This window comes from Homo sapiens, chromosome 4 (genome assembly GCF_000001405.40).
Source record: "Homo sapiens chromosome 4, GRCh38.p14 Primary Assembly".
Taxonomy (NCBI): domain Eukaryota; kingdom Metazoa; phylum Chordata; class Mammalia; order Primates; family Hominidae; genus Homo; species Homo sapiens.
In genome coordinates, this window is record NC_000004.12 from 181,429,056 (window position 1) to 181,452,714 (window position 23,659).

Consider the following 23,659-nt stretch of genomic DNA (forward strand, 5'->3'; position numbering starts at 1 on the left):
CCAGAAAGGACAATAAAAATGAAAAGTCTGAAATGTAGAAGAACGAGCAGAGAGCTACGTTTCAGGAAATAGGAGAGGAGAGAGATTTCAAAATCAGGGAGTCCTCAGTGGTGTCAAATATTTTAGAGATCAGACATAGTGATGACCGAAAAAAAGACCTGCAATAATTGTGTAGTTCATTACTGTTTCTACCCAGACCTTAATTCAGCTGTTGGATAGGATGTGGACTTCCCACCCACCATTAGATGGATTTTTTTGTCCTTATTCTTTAATTAATCAAGGAAGCCTCTATATGAACCAGCAGGTTCTTCCTTTAAAAGCTGAGGCCACCCCTGAGGAATTTGCCCTTTTACAATTACAGTCACCTGAAGAAAGTCGTCTTACCCTCTTGGCAAAGGGAGGGATGGAGAAAAAAATGGGATCATTCTAAGTCTTTATTCAAGAACACTGCAAAGTCTGCTAGAAACTGGAGCTGAAAGCATGCTACGCCCGGGGCCCATGGTTATGTGTGTGCAAATGGTGTCATCGTGCAGGCCATCCTTTTGCATCAAGATTCTGACACTATGAATATGAAGCATTGATATACGTACATCTATTCCCAGGCCCTATTTGAATCTTAAACCCTGGACTTAATCTCTGACTTCTGTTCTTGCTTGGCTAAGATCTCTATGTATCTACTTGAGTCTGTGTATCCAGATAGATCTTCACTGGGCCTACCACTTGCCTTGACCAGTCAACATGGCAGGAAATTGCTAAAGTCGTCTCGGGTCATCTGTGTACCACATCCAACCCACACGCCACTCAGGCAACTTTCCCTATGTGATCCAGCCTAGGCCTAACCCCTGCCTCTTCCTTATTCTAACTGAACTATGCCCCCCGTATCACCCAGGCAGTTGAGCCTACCAGATACAAAAGCTGGGACTATGTCACACGCTTTCATTGATGAAAGAGACACAAATAGACCTTAACAGATCACACTAAGCCTCAATGACCATGAATAAGATAATCTGTGCCTTACTTGCTATGTGTTTTTAAAAAACATATGTGTGGGCAACTTCTATTTCATTTCAATTGAAAGAGAAAAAAATATTATTTCTTGGACCTTCATCAAAATATTGCCAGTTTGAATTGCACTCTTTTTTTTTTTTTGGTTAAAAATAGGGAAAAAACACCCACAAATGATAAATAAGTAAGAATAGATACACTGTTGTTGTGAAATCATCTTAGTCCTTTATCTTTTTCAATCAAAATGACATAAATGTAAGAGAAATAACTCCCATAATAGTCACCGATTACAAAAGAGCAAAGAAAGAACACAAGGTGTTAGGTCCACGACTTTTGTTCCAGATGTCCCAGGGACCCTGGGCTGCCTAGACCTTTATTTTCTCATCTCTTCAAGGGAGAGAAATTTAGGTATGATTATTTGATGTGATTCTTCCACTGCCTTTTAATCTCTTATGTTCAATTATAATTTTTATGAAAGAATATGTAAAAATAAATTCTGAACTCTATTTTATCCTTGCATCTTATCTTACAGACTGAATGTGAGCAGTACCTGCTCTGTAAATAACTCACTGAATCATTTGGACAAAAAAAGTTCAACAAAATAGTTGACTGCTTTACGATACAGATGGCATCTGTCTTTCAAATAACTTAAGTATTTAAATTGAGTAGTGAAAATACCTGACAAATCTTTTTCAGACTAGTACAGCAAAGAAAACTGGAATAACATCTAAGACATCAGAAGTTATTTGTAGACCTTCAAGATTTTCTTTTATTTAGGGGGTAAACCATTGTGCCTGTCCCTCTCCTCTTTGTCTCTCTCTTATGAATTCCATCTGCTTATAAGTGTCATTGCAGGAGCTTGCAAGGAAACACTTTTGATTAGCACTAAAAAGGTCTAATGTTTGAGACCTTGAATGCAAAACTTCTGATAAAAATAAACTTCAAGGTCTCAGAATACTCTTATCAGATCAACCGTATGGTCCCAGAGTAGGTTGCTTAAATCTTCTTGGCTAAGCTTGAGAGTGCAAAGCTTAATACCCACAGGCTTGCAATCTTTTTGAATGTGATTATAATTCAGCACCAGCTTTGCATCCTGGATAAAGGTTCCCCTTGAACACAAAGTATGTTACATGCTTGTGTGCTAGTGATCAAAATACTCAGAGGATTATGGCACTTGCTGTTCTTAAACCTCCAAAATGGTGTTAAAATGCTACATCCAATCAGCTAAGCTGTAAATTAAATTTTTGTAGATTGAAGACATAGTTTTATTTCATATGCCAGAAACTCATTTCAACCCTAGCATTTCTGTTAGCACATTGCATCTAGCAGCATAACTCAAGAGGTTTAATGAAAGTTTAAAAACAATCTGTTGCAGATTTTGTGCCTAATTTATTTTTAATTGCAAATTGTACAACACATTATTGCCTGTGAAAATAGAAATTTAATTTCCTTCCTGTTTTTTTTTTGTGTTTTCTTTCTTTCTTTCTTTCTTTCTTTCTTTCTTTCTTTCTTTCTTTCTTTCTTTCTTTCTTTCTTTCTTTCTTTTCTTTCTTTCTTTTTAAATAACTCTAATGCAACCTCAGAGAGGAAACAGGCTTTAACATATGGTTTTCTGGGTTTTATTTCTTTATTCTTAGATTCTTGATGTGCACTTTTTGGAAAATATACCTCACACCATTTAGCATTATCCTTCAAACACACTTTCGTGCTTTTAGAATGTGCTGTGTGGAATCCCATAAGGTTGCATTTACACAGTTATTGCAAATGCATAGCATGCTCCGCAGTTACAGCTTCACTCCATTGCATGTGAAAATCCTCCTGACTGTATCTGACAGTTGACTCCTGCTAACAGTGTTCATATTCATACTTAGAGTTATTATAGATTGTGAAGCTGTGCTGGTGATGGTGTAAAAGCACACACGAGATAACTTGAATTGCAAGGATAGCTGGAGAGTTGGTAAAAATTAAATGCTCCATCCCATGTTTTTGCACTGATAGAACAAAGTCGTTTATTAGCATGAAGTTTGTTTTCTAATGCGACCTCTAATTTTTTTAATTGGTCTTCTCCGGAAAACCGTGGAGGAAAAATATCAAACAAAAACACTCATTCTGGTCTTTTCTTTCGGAAAGGTTTGTCACACTCTGCTGCATCTGGTAGTTTGACTTTGGATGGGAATCTGAAATGAAGCTTAATGTGAGTGCTATCAAGTGATTCTAGGAAAATGTCAAAATACAAGCAAAGAAAACAAAGGTCTTTTGTGCTGGATTTGCATTTCCTTCTGAAATCTTTGGCACTTTACATCAGAAAGGGAGTTGTATTATTTATTTTCAATTTCCTGACTCTCTATTCTTCCTCTGTCCTTAGAGAGTGGCCATCAGCACACTCCCTGCAGTCTTTCCCTCTCCTTGCTGAGCATTGTGTCAGTGAAGCGAGCTGCCTTCAAAGCTAGTGACAAGCGCAGGGCTGCCTCTTGCCAGAGAGGGGTGTGCATGCATGTCGCGACCAGGTCTCCCTTCCTGCAAGACAGCTCTCTCTGCCTCCACAAGGCCCAGCTTCCAGTGACGGCTGGATCAATGTGACATCTTGCTTTGGGTAGCCGTTGTGAGCAGGTACATTAGACAGCATCACAGTTTCCAGAAGGAACACATGTAGTGAGTGAGTGCCTTGACCTCCTCTAAGACATGATAGATAGTTCATATGCAGGTAGGACTTGGGTCTGGGGTAGAGGAGATGAACTGAAACTGCAATATTCTGAGCACCTGAACTGCACTGCCACTGAGAATTAAGCGGACTAAAGGTCAGGAAGATGATCTGGAAATAACCAGCATGTAAAAAACCTAACAAGCCTATTCAAGCTGAGAATTCTGATTGTTTTAAAGTCGTGTACTCATATTAAAAGATCTGATTCGTGTAAATGTTACCATCTATAACTGTTTCTCTAAAACATTTTGTGTTTTTATTTTACATTTTTAGAAGATATAAGCCTGCTATATGATTATGTTTCTCCCTTCATGCACCATCCATTAAATTATTATTTCTTAAGATATTTGACATTTTGCAGCTTTGCCATATCGGTTTTGATTATAGCAAAACATTGATAAAAATTATTCTTAATGAAGGAAGTAAATATAGAAATTTCAAATAGATAAATTACATTTCTGCGTATGCAAGAAAAAGTGCTGATTACCTATTGTATTTGTATAGCAGAAGTAGATATATATTTCATAAAAGAGATTTGATGAAACTGGATACCTCTGAGAAACCAGATTAAAAGAATGGGGCAGCCATGTCAAAGAAAGTCTAGGAGGATGCTATTGATGAAATGAATGAAGAATGCATGGATAGCGTCAGATGCGAGAAGCGTTCGGGATCTAACACTAAACAAACCATGCTGATGGAAGCAGTATTTACTCATATATAAATCACTGTGGCAAAACTCAGTTGCCTTAGTAGGACATGAGCTTGCACCTGTTTTTGTAAATTCCTGTCAGAGACTGAATGACAGGTTTCCAGAAAGAAGGTGCTTTTCCTCCTTTCCTTCCTTCCTCCTTCATTTCCAGAGGTCAGAGAGCTGTACGTATAGGCAGTTGGTCATTTGAATAGAAACTTTGGAGAGAAGTTTTGCTGATGAGTGTGAAGGCAGCTTGAAGTTTCATCTGTCTCAGCCTTTTCCAGCTAGGTCTATGCTCTCTAATTCTCAATTTTTTGCTTATTAAAGGGACACTCATCTCTTCTCTCTATACCTCTCTATAAACTCAGTTTAGCTTTGACATACTTTCAATGCATGGACACGCACACACACACATACACACACACAGTAACCCTCGCTGGAATGGAGATGCCAGGAGTGCCTTTATAAGCTTTGAAGTTGCCACAGTCTGCTGAAAAGGAATATATCTTTCTTTTAATCAGAATATTCAGAATGGGATACATACAACCTTATTCAGGTTGGAAGATGGACATGAATACACCTATCCCTTGCTTTATGAATTTACAATTTTAACTCATTCCTGAAAACCTGCCATTAAGTTTCTCAAAAAGAGTTAAGTAAAAAATAGTAATGTCTTTCAATTTGCTTAGAAAAATTTATGATACATTTTATGCCAAGCAAAGATACTCAAAGATTGTTCACAGTTTTAAAAAATATATTAATTGAAAATAAAAGCAAGCAAACTTTTATAAGTAAAGAACTAGAACATAAATTTTCAAATTTTATATATAATTTGTATACAAAAGGTAGTATAACAAAAGTATAATTATTTTTATTTGCCAATTTTGAAACTTTTAGAGCCCATGGATTTTTTTAAATTATACTTTAAGTTTTAGGGTACAGGTGGACAATGTGCAGGTTAGTTACATATGTATACATGTGCCATGTTGGTGTGCCGCACCCAGTAACTCGTCATTTAACATTAGGTATATTTCCAAATGCTATCCCTCCCCCTCCCCCAACCCCACAACAGGCCCCAGTGTGTGATGTTACCCTTCCTGTGTCCAAGTGTTCTCATTGTTCAATTCCCACCTATGAGTGAGAACATGCAGTGTTTGGTTTTTTGTCCTTGCAATAGTTTGCTGTGAATGATGGTTTCCAGCTTCATCCATGTCCCTACAAAGGACATGAACTCATCATTTTTTTATGGCTGCATAGTATTCTATGGTGTATATGTGCCACATTTTCTTAATCCAGTTTACCATTGTTGGACATTTGGGTTGGTTCCAAGTCTTTGCTATTGTGAATAGTGCCGCAATAAACATACGTGTGCATGTGTCTTTATAGCAGCATGATTTATAATCCTTTGGGTATATACCCAGCAATGGGATTGCTGGGTCAAATGGTATTTCTAGTTCTAGATCCCTGAGGAATCGCCACACTGACTTCCACAATGGTTGAACTAGTTTACAGTCCCACCAACAGTGTAAAAGTGTTCCTATTTCTCCATATCCTCTCCAGCACCTGTTGTTTCCTAACTTTTTAATGATCCCCATTCTAACTGGTGTGAGATGGTATCTCATTGTGGTTTTGATTTGCATTTCTCTGATGGCCAGTGATGATGAGCATTTTTTCATATGTCTTTTGGCTGCATAAATGTCTTCTTTTGAGAAGTGTCTGTTCATATCCTTTGCCCACTTTTTGATGGGGTTGTTTATTTTTTTCTTGTAAATTTGTTTGAGTTCTTTGTAGATTCTGGATATTAGCCCTCTGTCAGATGAGCAGATTGCAAAAATTTTCTCCCATTCTGTAGGTTGCCTGTTCACTCTGATGGTAGTTTCTTTTGCTGTGCAGAAGCTCTTTAGTTTAATTAGATCCCATTTGTCAATTTTGGCTTTTGTTGCCATTGCTTTTGGTGTTTTAGACATGAAGTCCTTGCCCATGCCTATGTCCTGAATGGTATTGCCTAGGTTTTCTTCTAGGGTTTTTATGGTTTTAGGTCTAACATTTAAGTCCTTAATCCATCTTGAATTATTTTTTGTATAAGGTGTAAGGAAGGGATCCAGTTTCAGCTTTCTACATATAGCTAACCAGTTTTCCCAGCACCATTTATTAAATGGGGAATCGCTTCCCCATTTCTTGTTTTTGCCAGGTTTGTCAAAGATCAGATGGTTGTAGATATGTGGCATTACTTCTGAGGGCTCTGTTCTGTTCCATTGGTCTATATCTCTGTTTTGGTACCAGTAACCGTGCTGTTTTGGTTACTGTAGCCTTGTAGTATAGTTTGAAGTCAGGTAGTGTGATGCCTCCAGCTTTGTTCTTTTGGCTTAGGATTCACTTGGCAGTGCAGCCTCTTTTTTGGTTCCATATGAACTTTAAAGTAGTCTTTTCCAATTCTGTGAAGAAAGTCATTGGTAGCTTGATGGGGATGGCATTGAACCTATAAATTACCTTGGGCTGTATGGCCATTTTCACGATATTGATTCTTCCTACCCATGAGCATGGAATGTTCTTCCATTTGTTTGTGTCCTCTTTTATTTCATTAGCAGTGGTTTGTAGTTCTCGTTGAAGAGGTCCTTCACGTCCCTTGTAAGTTGGATTCCTGGGTATTTTATTCTCTTTGAAGCAATTGTGAATGGGAGTTCACTCATGATTTGGCTCTCTGTTTGTCTGTTATTGGTGTATAAGAACGCTTGTGATTTTTGCACATTGATTTTGTATCCTGAGACTTTGCTGAAGCTGCTAATCAGCTTAAGGAGGGTTTAGGCTGAGACAATGGGGTTTTCTAGATATACAATCATGTCATCTGCAAACAGGAACAGTTTGACTTCCTCTTTTCCTAATGGAACACCCTTTATTTCCTTCTCCTGCCTGATTGCCCTGGCCAGAACTTCCAACACTATGTTGAATAGGAGTGGTGAGAGAAGGCATCCCTGTCTTGTGCCAGTTTTCAAAGGGAATGCTTCCAGTTTTTGCCCATTCAGTATGATATTGGCTGTGGGTTTGTCACAGATAGCTCTTACTATTTTGAGATACGTCCCAGCAATACCTAATTTATTGAGAGTTTTTAGCATGAAGGTTGTTGAATTTTGTCAAAGGCCTTTTCTGCATCTATTGAGATAATCATATGGTTTTTGTCGTTGGTTCTGTTCATATGCTGGATTATGTTTATTGATTTGCGTATGTTGAACCAGCCTTGTATCCCAGGGATGAAGCCCACTTGATCATGGTGGATAAGCTTTTTGATGTGCTGCTGGATTCGGTTTGCCAGTATTTTATTGGAGCTCATGGATTTTTTACTCCTAAACTGAACTTTAAAAATAAAATTTTAGTCCAGAAAAACACCACATTAGCAAAGTACAAGAGCCCTTTGAAATACTTGGAAGTAGCGCATGCATATCAGACTGAAAATCTGTAAAAATGTTACTCTTCGCCTCTCTTACAAAAACGATCCATCCAGAGCGAAAACATCTTGCGTTCATCCAAACATGGTGTATGATTCAAATGTATTCTATCTTTGCCTGAAACCCTCATGTCAAAATATCACTTTTTAGAGTGTATTTATTTAGTGTGGAGTTTTGTTTTTGTTTTCTTAGGTGTTTTTATTTTTATTTTTACTTTTTATTTTTGGTGGTAAAGTAGTTATAATGAAAAAGGACACCATCCAAAAGTGGGATGACTTTGCCAAAGCCATTATGGCAACAATAAAAAATTAACTGATGGCATTTTGTGTGGTGAGGTAAGTCTGTATTCTGAATCTTGTATGATCTAATTTGTCTCCTGACACAATCTTTGAAGCAATTAGAGATTTCTGGGATCTTATGCCACAGTTGGAACCTCCCACAGTGGAATATTAGAACTGGAAGTTATCTTGGAGGCAACTGTCTAACATCCCAGTTTTACAAATGAGGAAACTAGTGTTTCGTGAAATTAAATGGCTTGGCCAACGTCATGAACCTCAAAGAGGCAGAGCCAGATTTTCCTATTTTGTCTTCTGCTATAACTGAATTGACTCTCAGAAATGATGGCATCCCCATCCTGATCACCAGTTCCTGGAATCTAACACATAATAGTTCAAGTTGGGGTTGCGGAAGGTTGGAGAACGAATTGAACTTTAAATCCTTGAAGGTGGAATATTTTTGACCCTTTGAACTGTATTATAGCTAAAACATTGGGTATTTTTGACAAAAGTCAAAAACATGATTTGAAAATAATCTTTCGATACACCATTGTAACAAGTCTTCCCACTGAGCAACAAAATCAAATTAGCTTGTTTTGAAAAAATGAAACAACTCTAAGCACATTTCACATCTCCTGTTGAGGTCTGGGTCATGCGTAATCACTGGGCTGTGATTGCTACATTCTGCATTCTGAAAAATAATGAGGAATAGGCAAAGGAATCAGATACGGACGTAAATAATTATAAGTGGCAAGCTGGATACGAGAACATGGCTGGGACTTGAGCCTCTTGCTATATCCTTGCCCAATCTAGAGCTTCAGATAAATGCATGGGAACAGGTGCAACTACACAGCAAACCTTTCGCCAGATGTAGAGATTTCTGGCCTGCCCATAGGGCTGGAAAACCCTGCCCTGACCAGTAGGAGTCAGAAGATATCCTGCAACCTGTGCGCAGAGAGAATCCAACAGAACACATGAGGCTAGAATATGGGTTTGCCTAAGTGATGAGTGAGTGAGAGAAAAGGCAATGCTTCTTCCCTGATATCTGCAGGAGGCTGGTCATCCTTTTTAAGAACTGAACCCAGAAACGGGGAAGACGGTGAAAAACATTCTCCATATGCCTGCTCCCCTGGATTACAGGCTGCTTGTGAGCAGGAAGCATTCATCAGTGCAAGAAATATGCACTGAATGTCTAACATGGTCCTAGTACTCTACCTGATGCCAGGTATATAGAGGTGAGATTCAGATACAATCTGTGATCTCACTGGGAAGCAGGTTCACTAATAACCAATCCCAAGGGAGGACTTCCCCCATGTGGGTGATAGCAAAGGTTATCACTGTGCCAACCACCGGGCATAGGAGTTGAACGCTTGTCCCCACTGCACCTGGGCTGCAGTTTTGCCAATTGGCTGAGTCTGGTGAAGCAGAATACACTCACATGCAGCAGGTTTTATATAAAGCAGATTTATTTGTTACTGCTGGGCAGGAAGGGGCAAAGACGCCCAGGATCCATTGTGAGCTGGTTTCCTAAGGCTCATGAAAGCTGCCTGGGACAGATGGAGGGGCCGTTTTATATATCTTAGGGGCTGGCCACATGACTCACGGGGAAAGCCTTGAGGACATTCTGCTCCTTGGGGAGACAGGAACAAATCTCAGCTCCCCTGGCAGTTCCTCCCTATCTCAAGATGTTGCATTTCCTCTGAGGAAAACACATAAGGCTTGGCTATTTCTGGGAGTTCTTCCCTATCTCAAGGTACTGCATTCCTCGCACATTCTACAGTTATTCTATTTTTTTTTTTCTTTAGAGACAGGATCTCACTCTGTCACTCAGGCTGCAGTGCAGTGGCACGATCAAGGCTCACTGCAGTCTCAAATTTCTGGGCTCAAATGATCCTCCCACCTCAGCTTTCTGAGAAGCTGGGACTATAGGTGCATACCACCTTGTCTGGCTTATTTTTTTTTTTTTTTTTTTTTTGGAGAAACTGAGGTCCCACTATGTTTCCCAGGCTGGTCTCAAACTCCTGGCCTCAAGGGATCCTCCTGCCTCGACCTCCCAAAGTGCTGGAATTATAGGTTTGAGCCACTGTGACCAGCCTGCAGTTATTCTTGAGAACTACAAATGAGAAAGGAAAGAGAAGTGAGTCAGTCCAAAGCTACCTGGAGAATTGTCCTACACTCATGGAATATGGCTAAGAATGTGTATTCCTCATAATTCCTTTCTCCATGTTACTATATCGTATGCAATGGTCAGCTCAGCCACTGCAATGAAACTAACTACCTGGCCTATCATCATTCTTTATTCATTCAACAAACGTATGTTGTTTGACCAATATATGCTATGTACTGTGATGCAACCGAGCTTCATATTTTTTCTGAGAATTATGTTTCTCTCTAAACAGCATGAGGGAGGCAGAAGGAAATAAAATGAGATTCATAAATAGAAAGCTGATTTGAATGAGTACTTTCAAAATAAAATGTTATTTATAAACACATGCGTGTACACAGACTAAGACCAATGAGAAAAATGTCACATTTCCTATATGCAGCTCACTGATTTTTAGTTACAATAACCAGTAAATGTTTCTTCTTGTTCTAGCCAATCAATATTGTGATAACTTGTTATTTAAAGAAGACTTTTTTTTTAACAATTTCACTTGTCATCGTGATATTACATTGATTATTTACTAAGTAAAACGTATCCTTCAAATTTCTGGGGATCCATATTTTCTTTTGAGACTGAGTCTCATTCTGTCGCCCAGGCAGGAGTGCAATGGCACAATCTCGGCTCACTCCAACATCTGCCTCCCAGGTTCAAGAGATTCTCCTGCTTCAGGCTCCCAAGTAGCTGGGATTACAGGTGCTGCCACCACGCCTGGCTTATTTTTGTATTTTGGGTAGAGATGAAGTTTCACCATGTTGGCCAGGCTGGTCTCGAACTCCTGAGCTCAGGCAATCTGCCTGCCTCAGCCTACCAAAGTGCTGGGATTACAGGCGTGAGCCACTGCACCTAGCCTATACTTTCATATATATAACAAAAATAGCAGTTTGTTACAAACATTAGTTCATAGAGAGGTACAGTGAAAAGAGAGTTCCAAAGATGTGGTTCAACCTTGGTTTTGCTACTTACTAGTCACAGCTTCAGACACATCACTTTAAACTCTCTGAGTCTCAGGGGATATAGGACAATATAATGAGTTCAAATTCAGGCCCTTGAAATATCTCACCTAAGGAGGAATGTCCCACGAATAAATAGGAATTTCTAAGATCACAGTACATGTCTGCAATTGCTTGAGAGATATAGTTGCTGGGTTAACAAATAAAAGCGCAAGCGAGGAAAGCCTCCTCTTACTTCCAGACCACATTCAAATTCTAGGTATTTGTATTAACTTGGCCTTTCATGCATAGCTTAAAAGTGTGTGTTCTACGTGGTTCAAAGAAAATAAAACATGATTCTTTCTTTTAACCAAATGAAGACCTACCCAGAGAAACAAGATGCCAACCTGTGCATGAAATAGCTGATAACACAAGGCTATGTGTAATCACTGAACAAGTGTTGCCATCTGAATTTGAGTTATAAGGGAACAATGATGATCTCAGTGACTTCTAATCTCTAATCTCCGCTCTTTCACAAGCTGTTAACTAGACTCTCTGAACTCCAGTTACGTCTTCTGTAAAATGTGGTTAAATACGTATACACCATAAGGAAGGTATGAGAACAGAAAGGAAGAATTCAGTAAAGTACTTAGAATCATGTTCCCAAGTAGTTAATGCTAAGTAAATGTCAGTTTCTCTTCCATCCTTTCTCTGTACTCATTTGGCACAATAGGATAATAATATTTGTTCTGCCTACCTTAGAGAGCTACATTGAGAATAAAATGAGTTCATATTTGTGAAAACGTTGGATGTTATAAGGACTTCAACAAATGAGAGGTGTTATTATTGGTAATGGAATTCTTGAACTCATTATGCCGAGAGACTTTACCCAAAAATATAATCATACTCCCAGAGACATTACCTAGCCACATAAATGACAGGAGCATAATGAACTGCCACCTAAACTGGGTTCCAGCTAGTATGAGTCTTTATATCAGGAAGAACAAATGCCCCTCCACAACAACTTGGAGCTGGGAGTAAGGACTCGTTGGTCTGGATTCAGGAGAGCACCAGAGTTCTAACACTTCCAGATTTTATATGCTCAAACGCAGGTGACAACCTGTGTTAGAAGGTAGGATGAGCATAAGAAGCATGTGATTAACAGAGACTCTGTGTTGATGATATGTAGAGTGCTGATTTTAGAGTCATTCTGTCTGCTTCCAAGTTCTGGTACCACCACATGCTATACATTTTTGGTCAAGGTACCTGGTTTCTCTAAACCTTAGAATCCTCATTTAGAGAGTGGGACCGATAATTATACTTGCCTCTGGAATATTTGAAGGATAAAATGAACATCCGGCCCCTTATGGGTGTCCAGGGGATTTTAGCTATTATTATTATTTCTAAATAAGTGGAAAATAGAGTACAGTCTTTTCTGCATTTATAAGAGAGCTAAATCAGTAATTGCAACCAAAAGGATAGGGATGGTAGTATGTGCCTCCTGCCTCGCAGTGCCTTATGGAGGAGGTCAGTGTTTGAATAAAGAGCCCAACTAGACTTCCACAAGAAGACATAACCAACATGAAAGTGTAAGGAATACCCAGTGGACTGAAGCTAGACAAGAAAAGCTGTGTAAGATTTAGGGAAGCCAATACTAGAACTTTAGTAGTGAGGAGAAAAAGGTGACATGGCAAAATGTAGCCTATATAAATACATGTCGGGACTCATATTTCTCTCACAGATTATCTGCCCTGTCTATCTGAAGTAACTATCTTCCATCAAAATACATGAAATAAAACAGTAGCATAACACCTGAGTAGCTCTGTTCTTTCAACCCACTGAGACGAGGTCTGCATATTGCCTGTATTTGCATCACCTCCTTCACTTACCCTTTGCTAAAACATGTCAGAACATCTTTAATTTACCTGTAAAACTTCAGTAGGCAGCTCAGGGAAATTGAAATGAAATCCATCTGTGAAGAATTTAATCTCATATCTTTTTCTTAAGGTATAAAATTAATAAAACAAACTCTATCTGTAAGAACATGTGATATATACATTCATGTAATGTGGACTGCTTAGAGAAAATAGAAAAGGCTTTGTTTTGTAAACATCTATAAGAAAGCTTGCTGTAGCAAAGTATAAAGAATAAACGTCTGGCTGGGCGTGGTGGCTCACGCCTGTAATCCCAACGCTTTGGGAGGCGGAGGCAGGTGGATCACCTGAAGTCGGCAGTTCGAGACCAGCCTGGCCAACTTGGTGAAACCCTGTCTCTACTAAAAATACAAAAATTAGCCGGGCGTTGTGGTAGGTGCCCCTAATCCCAGCTACTCGGGAGGTTGAGACAAGAGACTCTCTTGAACCCGGGAAGTAGAGGTTGCAGTGAGCCAAGATCGCACCATTGCACTCCAGCCTGGGCAGCAAGAGTGAGATTCCATCTCCAAATAAATAAATAAATAAATAAATAAATAAATAAATAAATAAATAAAAATAAAAAAGATAAATGTCTAAAGGAGCAGGCAAATACTGCAGTGGATATTTGGGAAAGAGCTGCCTTTCTTTGGGGGTGGCAAATTGTGGTACTGGTTGTTACTGGCAATTGAAATGAAAGCCATCCTAACGAGGTTTTATCATCATGAACTGTATTTGTTTGTACTAAATTAGGCTCGCTACAGAAACAAACCAAATGATGACAACGAGTTGATTGATTTCCCTTTTAGATTTTTGTAAGCTAGTTAAATATAGGTAGTTGATGTAATTGCGTATTTACTATTTCACTTTTGCAGCTTTTAGAGTGACAAAAATGCAGCCCCCTGTCATGAGTCTGAAATGCTAAACTGTCCTAAACATTGGCGATGCTGTGAGAGATGAGAGTAACCAACAAACACTTCCTACATTGTCACACGGGGCTAATTCAGGCTGCTGCAAATTAGTGGTTTGTAGAATAGAAACCAGTGTGGTAAAAGTGAGATGTGTGAGACTGCCTAGTGACAGTCACACTCTGATGTGACGCTGTTTTATTAGCATCTCCTAAGATCTAAGGCAGTGTCGCCTTGCGTGTGGATCTGCAGTTATCCTTTAACTATGCAAGCTGGCCCAAGAGCAGGGCTGTGAGCAAGACCATGTTTTTGCATCTTATTTGTTCTGAAAATAAGGATTAGTAATGAGTGTTACAAATGGGACTTGTCAGAAGAGAACCAGAGAGACGTTTTGTTAAATCAAAGAAGATCCATTCCTTCACAAAGGATAGACTCATATTCTGTAGTTAATGATTTGTTGCAAGATCTGATAAGTATCCTTCAGATATACAATTGATTTTAAAGGAGAGCCATTGATAGAGGTATCTCTCTGTACCCAAACACAAAGTCCGTGATGAAATCTATACATGGGATCTCTACAACTTATTACCTAAAAATATTAGGAGACAGAAATATCGAGTAACTCTAAAATAAATTATACTTTGATATTCAATTTGTTCTATATTTTCAAGCAGAATTAGTTTTGAGAAGTATTTTAGTTCATTTATTATTGGAAAAGACCTTACTAGCTTATTCAAGCAAGAAAATTACCCCAAAAGCTTACAAGATTTATAATGCTTGGGGAAAAAAAAAAAAAAGCAATTCAAAACCTAATGAGACATTTTAGGCCTCATTTACATCTCTAACCTGACCCATTTTCTGCGAAACGTTTTTGTTGGTAATTTACATACTAAAAGCTAGTTATTTATCCATCCCTAACCAAAAAGTTGATGAGATTACTAATACCACAGTGAAGTTAACATTACCCTGAAAGCTAAATACGACCATTTCTAGAAGGTTGACTATTGAGTCATTTATTAAGCTATAATCTCCATTACATCCTGGCAATGCACCCACACTCTGAGAGAATGACATGAAAGCCCAAATATCTCATTTCCACAGTCACTCTATGGGCAGGAATCCTTCCAGGAACACACTGGTTGGAAATGAAGCACATTAACGTGCTCTGTGTATGTACACACATGCATATAACCAAGAAAAAATAATACAAGGAAACACATCATATAAAACAAGTTCAGATATCATGTATTTTTGAATACCACAGAGCTTTGCATCTATTTGGAGGTGATAATTGTATTGATGTAGCGAAGCTGTTGTATAAAAAAAACCTTCCCAATGTTTTGAGAAAAAAGACTACAATGAGGAATTGAAGTGTACAGTGGCACAGTGATATATTTCTCACTGTTTTAAGGAATAATTATATTTTTTCAGGATGAAAAATATATATCCATAAATATATATGTTAATATTATAAGTGCATCTATTGATATATTTATATTACCAATATACTTACATATTTACTAAAATATATTTCTATTTTCTATTTTATATATTTACATTTTATGTTTTGTATATTTTTATTATATAACATATAATCACCACCTGTTGATAATTGTTTAATAACTTACTCTCAAAAAGCACTGAATTTATAGTAATTTAACGAATGTCCTTCATAATGTAAGTGTCTGTCTACAGTTTAGTTGAACATTATTTGGGCACATGGTGAGAATTATACTCCAAGACCTTCAAGACTGTCTTGGAGGTGAAATTTCCCTGCCTCTTGGTATAAACCCCCTCCCTCACTGCCCTACATCAAATCCCAACAAAATTCAGAGATTGAGAAGTGCATGGTACATCTCTAGGGCTCCTTGTTTAACCAGACTGCATTGCGGGTCCCTTTGTTAAATTCTAGTCTTTGGGGGCAGTGTGCAGTCTGATTTTAGTTTGTTCAGCATCTCCTGCACAGCTTCCTCCCTGGATGAACCAGGTGTTTCATTCTGATCAGGGCCAGTCTGGTATCCAAGAAGGTCCAAAGCTCAACCCACGCCGGTGGCCCTGGAAAGCCCAGAATGTGGACAAATGTGGCTCTATTCCTTTCCTATGTAGTCATAGTTTACTCGATAATGAGTTTCACATTGTGTTTGTTTTCAGAAACCCTCTTTGCTGTTGTATTCTTCCTATGAGTTAGAGGATTTACAAGGGGATACAGATTGATTATAAGCAGAGAAAACACTCCTTGGTAAATGTAATTACTAAAAACTCATCTGCAAAGTAAACTGCCATTCGCCAAAACCTATTATCTTATGACATGTTACGAATTGTGGTTTTAGTCCCTATTTTGAGGCCGTCAAATACTGTGGGCACTGCAGCTGTGGTCTTCAAGGCTGTGGCCACCATCACGGTGATGGCTAACATGCCTTTTGCTGGCTCACGGGGAAAACCACATGAACAATTTTACTTCTCAATTCTTTTGAGTAGTGTAAAAAACTTAGGTTGTGTTGGCTTTACCCACTGTACACCTGTCTCCCAAAGAATATGCTGCAATTGTCTGTTCAGTTTTCCTCTTGGCCATTTGGAATATCTTTGGAGACTCTCTCTTGTGCTGGAATCTATTGACAAGACTCAAATAGTACTATAGTTTCTGTGAATATGTTTTGCTTCATGCAAAGTTTTCCAGGTACATACTGTTGGTGAATGATATACTCCATCTCCAGCTTGCTTATTACCTACTAACATTGTGTGATACAGCAAAACATTTCATATGTTTTCTGGGTATTCTCTTGCTTAATCTGTGAAGATAGTATCATTTCAACACCACATTTCTTATACTCTCATGTCAAAAACATTTCATGATGATCTTCAACAATTACGTCCCTCTTAATATATCTGAGACATTGAATATATTTTAAAATTCCACATCTCCCAGTGCCTTTTCAATTATTTATGCTAGAAATGTTGGGTGAATAGTTACCATGTAGTAAGTAAATGAAACAACCATGATTCCTGCCCTCATGGAGCGTAGAGCCCAGGAGAAGAAGCCAAACCAACAAAATAACCACAATATAATGGCAGAATGTGTTAAGTATTAGGAACCGAACAGACTATTGCAATATTCAGTACTGGAAGGAGAGTTAGTATTTAGATAGGGTGTTTAAGAAGACTAGTTGAGCTGGTGGCATTCAAATCGGGGCTGAAAGGTAAAAAGGAGGCAGCTGAAAGTAAAAAGGTGAAAGGAGATGTCTCATGTACTTCTCAATCTCTGGATTTTGTTGGAATTTGATGTATGGCAGTGAGGGAGGGGGTTTATACTAAGAGGCAGGGAAATTTCACCTCTAAGACAGTCTTGAAGGTCTTGGAATATAATTCTCACTATGCGCCCAAATAATGTTCAACTTCCTCCTTTTATATATAATTATATATAATTTATGTATTAGAATTATATAAAATTATTAAAAATATAATTTTATAATTTATTGTAAATCATATAATTTTATAATAAAATTAATGAGAAGAGCATTCCAGGCAGAGGATGTCAGCAGAAACAGCCCAATGCAGCAGAGTGCAGCATGCTCCAGTAATTGGAAACGGCCACTCTTCCATGTGTGATGGTGTACATGAGGGTGGTGTGCACAAGATGAGGTTGGAGAGGTAGACAGGGATCAGGAATCCTGACTGTAGTGCCAGAGTGAGCCATCATCAGCATTCCCCTGAATTCAATTTACACAACCAACATGGCCACTACTCCCTCCCCTCCCCACATCCTGGATGGCACCTGACCCTCAGTAAGCTTATGGCATATAGGAAAACAACAAAGAGCAAATGTTTTCTCAAGAGAGGCCAGCTCCCAAGAGAAAGAGAAAGGAAGAATCTGGCCTAAAATTGCCCAGGAATTTTTCATAAATTCACAATCAAACAAATAATTTCTCCTTCCCTATGGCAGAAGAAATGAGGGAGCAGAAGTTGCCTGGACTATTTTACTAATGGAGTAGCCTTACAGTGGAGAGGAACACCAGGAGTGAGGAAGGGACTTCTCCCAGCAGTTGTGCCCTCTCCCACACTCTCTGGAAGTAATAATATAATCTGTCCTTTTAGAAGGAAAAATCCTTACATATTTAAAATTTTTTGTTTCTACCAGAATCCATAATGTGTGTTATTACAAAGTGAACAAGCTAGATATGCCCAAATACATTATCACATGACTTGAATGCTATAACTTGAATATCCTAGCAAAATTAAATCCAATGCCAGCAAGATGAGAACCAGGGTCTTGATGGATCTGCTACCTAACTATAGCCAACCATAAGTTTTCAGTGTTTTTTCTATATCTTGAGTGGATATTGTATACCTACGCATGCATGGTTATATCAAATCTAGTTTTTTTTTCTCTTTTCCATAAAAATACTTTAAAACTCAAATAATTATAAATGTGTAAATAGAAGGATTACCGATAAAATGCAATTCATGGGAATTACCTAGTGTAATTGTTAGGTATTTGTTGGCCCCTGTGTCAAAAATGCCCTTCTTTCTCCAGGTGAAGAGCTGCTTCCTCGGAAGAGCACCCTAAGGCTGGGTGGCCACTATCCTTTGCCTTGGCAGAGCCAGCCAGAAGGCCTAGGCACAACCCGCTGTGTTTGCTGACAGCCAACCTACCCTGGAGTTCCGGAGCGGCTTCCTAGGAAGTCTGGGGAGCGGTGAGTACCCATGTGCGGCCAGCAGCTTTGATAGCTCTGTCTTCTGGAAGAGCTTATTTTCTGATATTCTAGCCATTCCTGTCATTCTTTCAGACACACTTCTAAAAGACTGTCAAACAACTATTTTCTCTCTTTATACCTTTTCTGCACCCTGCCTATAGCCGTAGTACTTCTGTAAATCAATTACATCTTGCTGTCTCTGTCTTTGTGCGTGTAAGTGTGCAATGCTACAAATGGAAACTCGCAAGCAGAGAGAGACGGTGAAAGAGAGAGAGAAGGTGATTTTGTGTGTCTTCAACCTTACCATCGTATTTCTTTTAACATCAGTTAAAAATAGCTGTTATCAAGTGTCCAGTTGACAGGAGTCTTTGAAATCCAGTAATTTTTTTTTTTTTTTTTTTTTTTTTTTTTTGAGACGGAGTCTCGCTCTGTCGCCCAGGCTGGAGTGCAGTGGCGCGATCTCGGCTCACTGCAAGCTCCGCCTCCCGGGTTCACGCCATTCTCCTGCCTCAGCCTCCCGAGTAGAGTAGCTGGGAATACAGGCGCCCACCACTACGCCCGGCTAATTTTTTGTATTTTTAGTAGAGACGGGGTTTCACCGTTTTAGCCGGGATGGTCTCGATCTCCTGACCTCGTGATCCGCCCGCCTCGGCCTCCCAAAGTGCTGGGATTACAGGCGTGAGCCACCGCGCCCGGCCGAAATCCAGTAATTATTAATGGGAATTTTATACAGAAGAGGTAGAAAATGTAAAATAGCTTTGGTTCATAAAACAGGAAAGATAAATGTCACCAGGAAAAAAATCTATAACAAGTGTGTCGTGAACTACGTGAAGGAAAATCTGTTGTATATTAGTGAGATTGTTAAATGGAAATCAAGGATATTGGCTCTGTTGATGAGCAAATTCTATTCATCTGCATAAAAGCAGTTTATTTCAGAAGATAGGATATGTAGATCTAATTTTTATTGTTATACTATTGTTGGTCGTGGTGATTATGAATATATTACAAAGTTTTATAAAGACTGCAGCTTCACGTTTTTTTACTGTGGGCATTTAAAGTTTTTTTTACTTGGAATTTTAAGTTTTTCTAAACATACTTATAATTTTATTAGACACTTTATAAACAAGAATTATAAAAAGTAGAAGAGCATAAAATTTTACTATTTGCTCCACCATATACCCTCTGAGTGTTCAACTATTTTAAGGTCTCTGACTAAATACCAGCATATGATACTGGCAGAGATTGAAAGCAGAAATTCTATAGAACATCTAAATGTCACAGGTGTTATTGGAATGGAAATGAACTTTTTAATACATTTTATAGGTATTACATATAGCTAGAATTTTACACCATATTTTTACACTTTATTTTTTGACTTTGTCACCTATCACCTTTTCCAAATTACTAAAAACTAAAAATACCTTAATGAAATTAAGAGCATGAATGATTTGGCAAATCAAGACGGTGCAGTTTTTCTCCTGTCATGTAGGTCTATGATATATATCATTTTTCAATATTGCTGGTGGGTTGAGCCGACCTAACTACACACTGTGATCCTGAGATGTGGCTCCTGTCTGTCAATTTGGAATAGATTTAATTTGGAGTTACTACTTGGGTAGTCTAATTATTTCAAAAAGGAAGGGGGAGAAAAGTGAGTAATAAGAGTATTATAGGAAACTATATTTTAACAAAAGTTGTAGTTGAAAGTTAGAAAGAAACATATAATCAGGGCCGGGTGTGGTGGCTCACGCCTGTAATCCCAACACTTTCGGAGACCGAGGCAGGCAGGTCACCTGAGGTCAGGAGTTCGAGACCAGCCTGGCCAATGTAGTGAAACCCCATCTCTACTAAAAATACAAAAAAATTTACCCGGGCATGGTGGTGGGTGCCTGTAATCCCAGCTATTCAGGAGGCTGAGGCAGGAGCATTGCTTGAACCCAGAAGGCCGAGGTTGCAATGAGCCGAGATCGTGCCGCTGCACTCCAGCCTGGGCACGACAGAGTGAGACTCCATCTCAAAAAATAAATGAATAGATAAATAAATAACAACATATGATTAAGAAAGGAGTTAATTTTGTTTGGTATTTGGACACCCAAATCAGTCTTCATATTCTTTCATTGACAGCATTCATTAAGTTCTGCAGAAATTAAATAGAATTAAGAAACAAATTCCTTTCAGAGCAAAATGATATGGTACATTCTTAGTTAAATGCTTATGTCATTCCGCATATTTTTAAGTAAATTATCATTAAACTACTATTTAATATGTAGGAGAAATGATGCATTTAAATGTTATCTTTATTTCCTTAGAAAATATTACATTAACAGGTTAAAGAATAGCATCCCTTAGCACAGAAAAAACTTAAGCCCTTGAAAGTTATGAATATCCAAATTAAGTTCAGGCGTATACCTGAGTTTTGTCTGATGATTTCGCCGTAGCAACATTTATAATCAAATGTGTCATTTTAATACATAACTATAATTAATGATACAATGGGTTCTATTCTTTATGATAACGTTTTTGGAGTAACATCTGAGTATTTGCTCCATATTACTGGGGTAAGTAATAAGGTCAATATTACATACCTGAGTAATATTCATTGCAAACACTTTCAGTGTAGTTTTGCAGAAATAAAACAACTTGTGAAGGAACACAATCGTTTTCTTCCTAGGGACAGAAGGATTTTTAAATGAAAAAGGGCATCTGCTCCTTTTCCGCCTAACAATTTTATTGTCTTTTGGATCAAGGTAATTTGCTATGAAACAAGGAGAAACGTGTGGCCATTCGGTATCATTTTACTTATCTGAGTGTTTGCGCATCCAATTCAGAATGCGACCTGACTTGTTCAGATGACACCAGTTTCTCATACTCTTATGTCATCATTTAAATTTCATTTCATGTTTTGACAACCTTCCTCAGTAGAAGGCATAGAACACATCAGACTGCACCTCTTGAATCTTCATTCTTTAAACCTACATGCGCGATTCTAGAACTAATGTTTTCATAACATGTGGTGTCACTGAGGAGAATGAAAATCTCACTTTGAATATGCTACTGTAATAATTTTCACTTGTAAGCTATAATTGATCTGAATGATGGCAACAAAAGAAACACTTAAGAAAAGTAATTTTAGTCCTCAGTTAATGAAGTTTAATGTAAGCAGCATTCTCTCAGGTTACACATATTTATATGCCAGGGATCGTGTTTCCAGGTGTTGGGGGTCATGGAGCTTCTTACATCTACACTGTGCTATCATCACCGTTTGTTCTGAGTGATGAAAAAACTAAAGTCCAACATTTTACCTGAGTTTACATGTAACAGGCAAAGCAACCATCATTATAGAGGGTAGGGGTGGGGGTTACGTAGAGGATGTAATATTGGAGCAGACTTAAAGCTTGAATTAGCAACGTAAGGAGGAGTGGGTATTTTAGGCAGTGGAAAGAACATGGACAAAGTTCCTGAGCTGAGGAACTGCCTGGCATTCTCATGGAACTGAGAGGAACCCAGATGTCTAGAGCACAGCCTGCAAACAGAGAAAAAAACAGGAAGAGAACATACTGGTGCAATGCATGAAGGACAGGTCACACAGGGCCTTGCAGACACCATTAAAGAAATTTGATCTTTCCTCCAAGTGCAGTGAGAAACCATTAGAGGAATCTAGGTAGGAGACTGATGAGGTCAGATTTCTATTAAAAATCATCACACTGGTTGATGCGTGGAGAATAGAACAGATGTAGAAAGGAAAGGATAGGAGAGACCAATCTGGAAGATTTTACACCAGTTGAGGAAGAAGAAAAGAGTGAAGGTGTAGGGGTCTGAGGAGGAACTGGAGACAAATGCATGAGTTCCAGCTGGATCAGAAAGAGAATGGATTGGGTAGGTTAAAGATGAAGAAGAGAAGGGGCCAACAATGACTCTCATATTTTTGGATGGAGAAAACATGGTAATGTTCCTTGTTTTTATGTTCAGTTTGAAATGGATGCAGAATACCTAAGATGCATATATCCTGAAAAAAGTTCTGTTTGTAGTTTTGGAAGTCATAAATCTGGGCCAAAGATCTTAATTTATAGACATTGACTTTTAGATGGCAATTGAAGCCAGAATAGTGAATGAGATTGCTCAAAGAGAGAACATAGGGAGATTTTTTTAAGATCTTGAACAGAAAGCAACCTGAGGGACTTGGAGGAGCACCTTGGAGAGGAGAATGAGAAGAAACAGCCAGAGAAGTGGGAGGAAAACCTGGAGAGTCGGCAACATGGAAGCCAAGGGAAGAAGAGGGCATTTCAATATGGTGCTAAAAGCGCGGTGAGATGAAGATTATGAAGTATCCCTTGAATTAAACAACAGTAACATCATTGGTAGCCATTGCAACAGAGTTTTGATAGAAGAGTGGGCAAAATCCATATTGAAGATGGTTGTTCTATGGATGATAAAGAATAGAATTGACAAACACATACAACTGTTTCCAAAGTTGGCTGTGAAATTGAAGAGATAAATAGGAATGTGTATGGGAAATTGTGAAGTAAAAGGAAATTTTTAAAAATGTGATATGGTTTGGCTGTGTCCCCACCCAAATTTCATCTTGAATTGTAGTTCCCATAATCCCCTCGTGTTGTGAAAGGGAGCTGGTAGGAGGTAATGGAATCCTGGGGGAAGTTACCCCCATGCTGCTGTTCTCATGATAGTGAGTGAGTTCTCAGGAGATCTGATGGTTGTGTAAGGAGCTCTTCTCCCTTTTGCTTGGTATTTCTTGGTGCCACCATATGAAGAAGGACATGTTTGCTTCCCCTTCCACCATGATTGTAAGTTTCCTGAGGCCTCCCCAGCCAGGCTGAACTGTGCATCAATTAAACATCTTTCCTCTATAAATTACCCAGTCTCAGGTATGTCTTTATTAGCAACATGAGAACAGACTAATACAAAATGATAGTTTAAAATTCCT

At 38.6% G+C, this 23,659-nt stretch overlaps 1 protein-coding gene across 6 annotated transcripts in view, besides 1 other annotated feature; it reads left to right on the plus strand.

The window, feature by feature from the left end:
- Positions 3,034–3,534: an enhancer, noted in NCBI's record as "H3K4me1 hESC enhancer chr4:182353242-182353742 (GRCh37/hg19 assembly coordinates)". NCBI's record gives its function as "activates a minimal SCP1, AML or CMV promoter by ChIP-STARR-seq in primed H9 embryonic stem cells {active_cell/tissue: H9 hESC(primed)}" and the evidence as "EXISTENCE:reporter gene assay evidence [ECO:0000049][PMID:30033119]".
- TENM3 (teneurin transmembrane protein 3) overlaps positions 18,558–23,659 on the plus strand; it is a 1,355,412-nt gene continuing 1,350,310 nt past the window's right edge. For all 6 annotated transcript variants that reach the window (XM_017008385.2, XM_017008389.2, XM_017008390.2 and 3 more), the window contains exon 1: positions 18,558–18,717. The gene's annotated coding sequence lies outside the window, so the exon portion shown is untranslated. The remainder of the gene's footprint in view (positions 18,718–23,659) is intronic.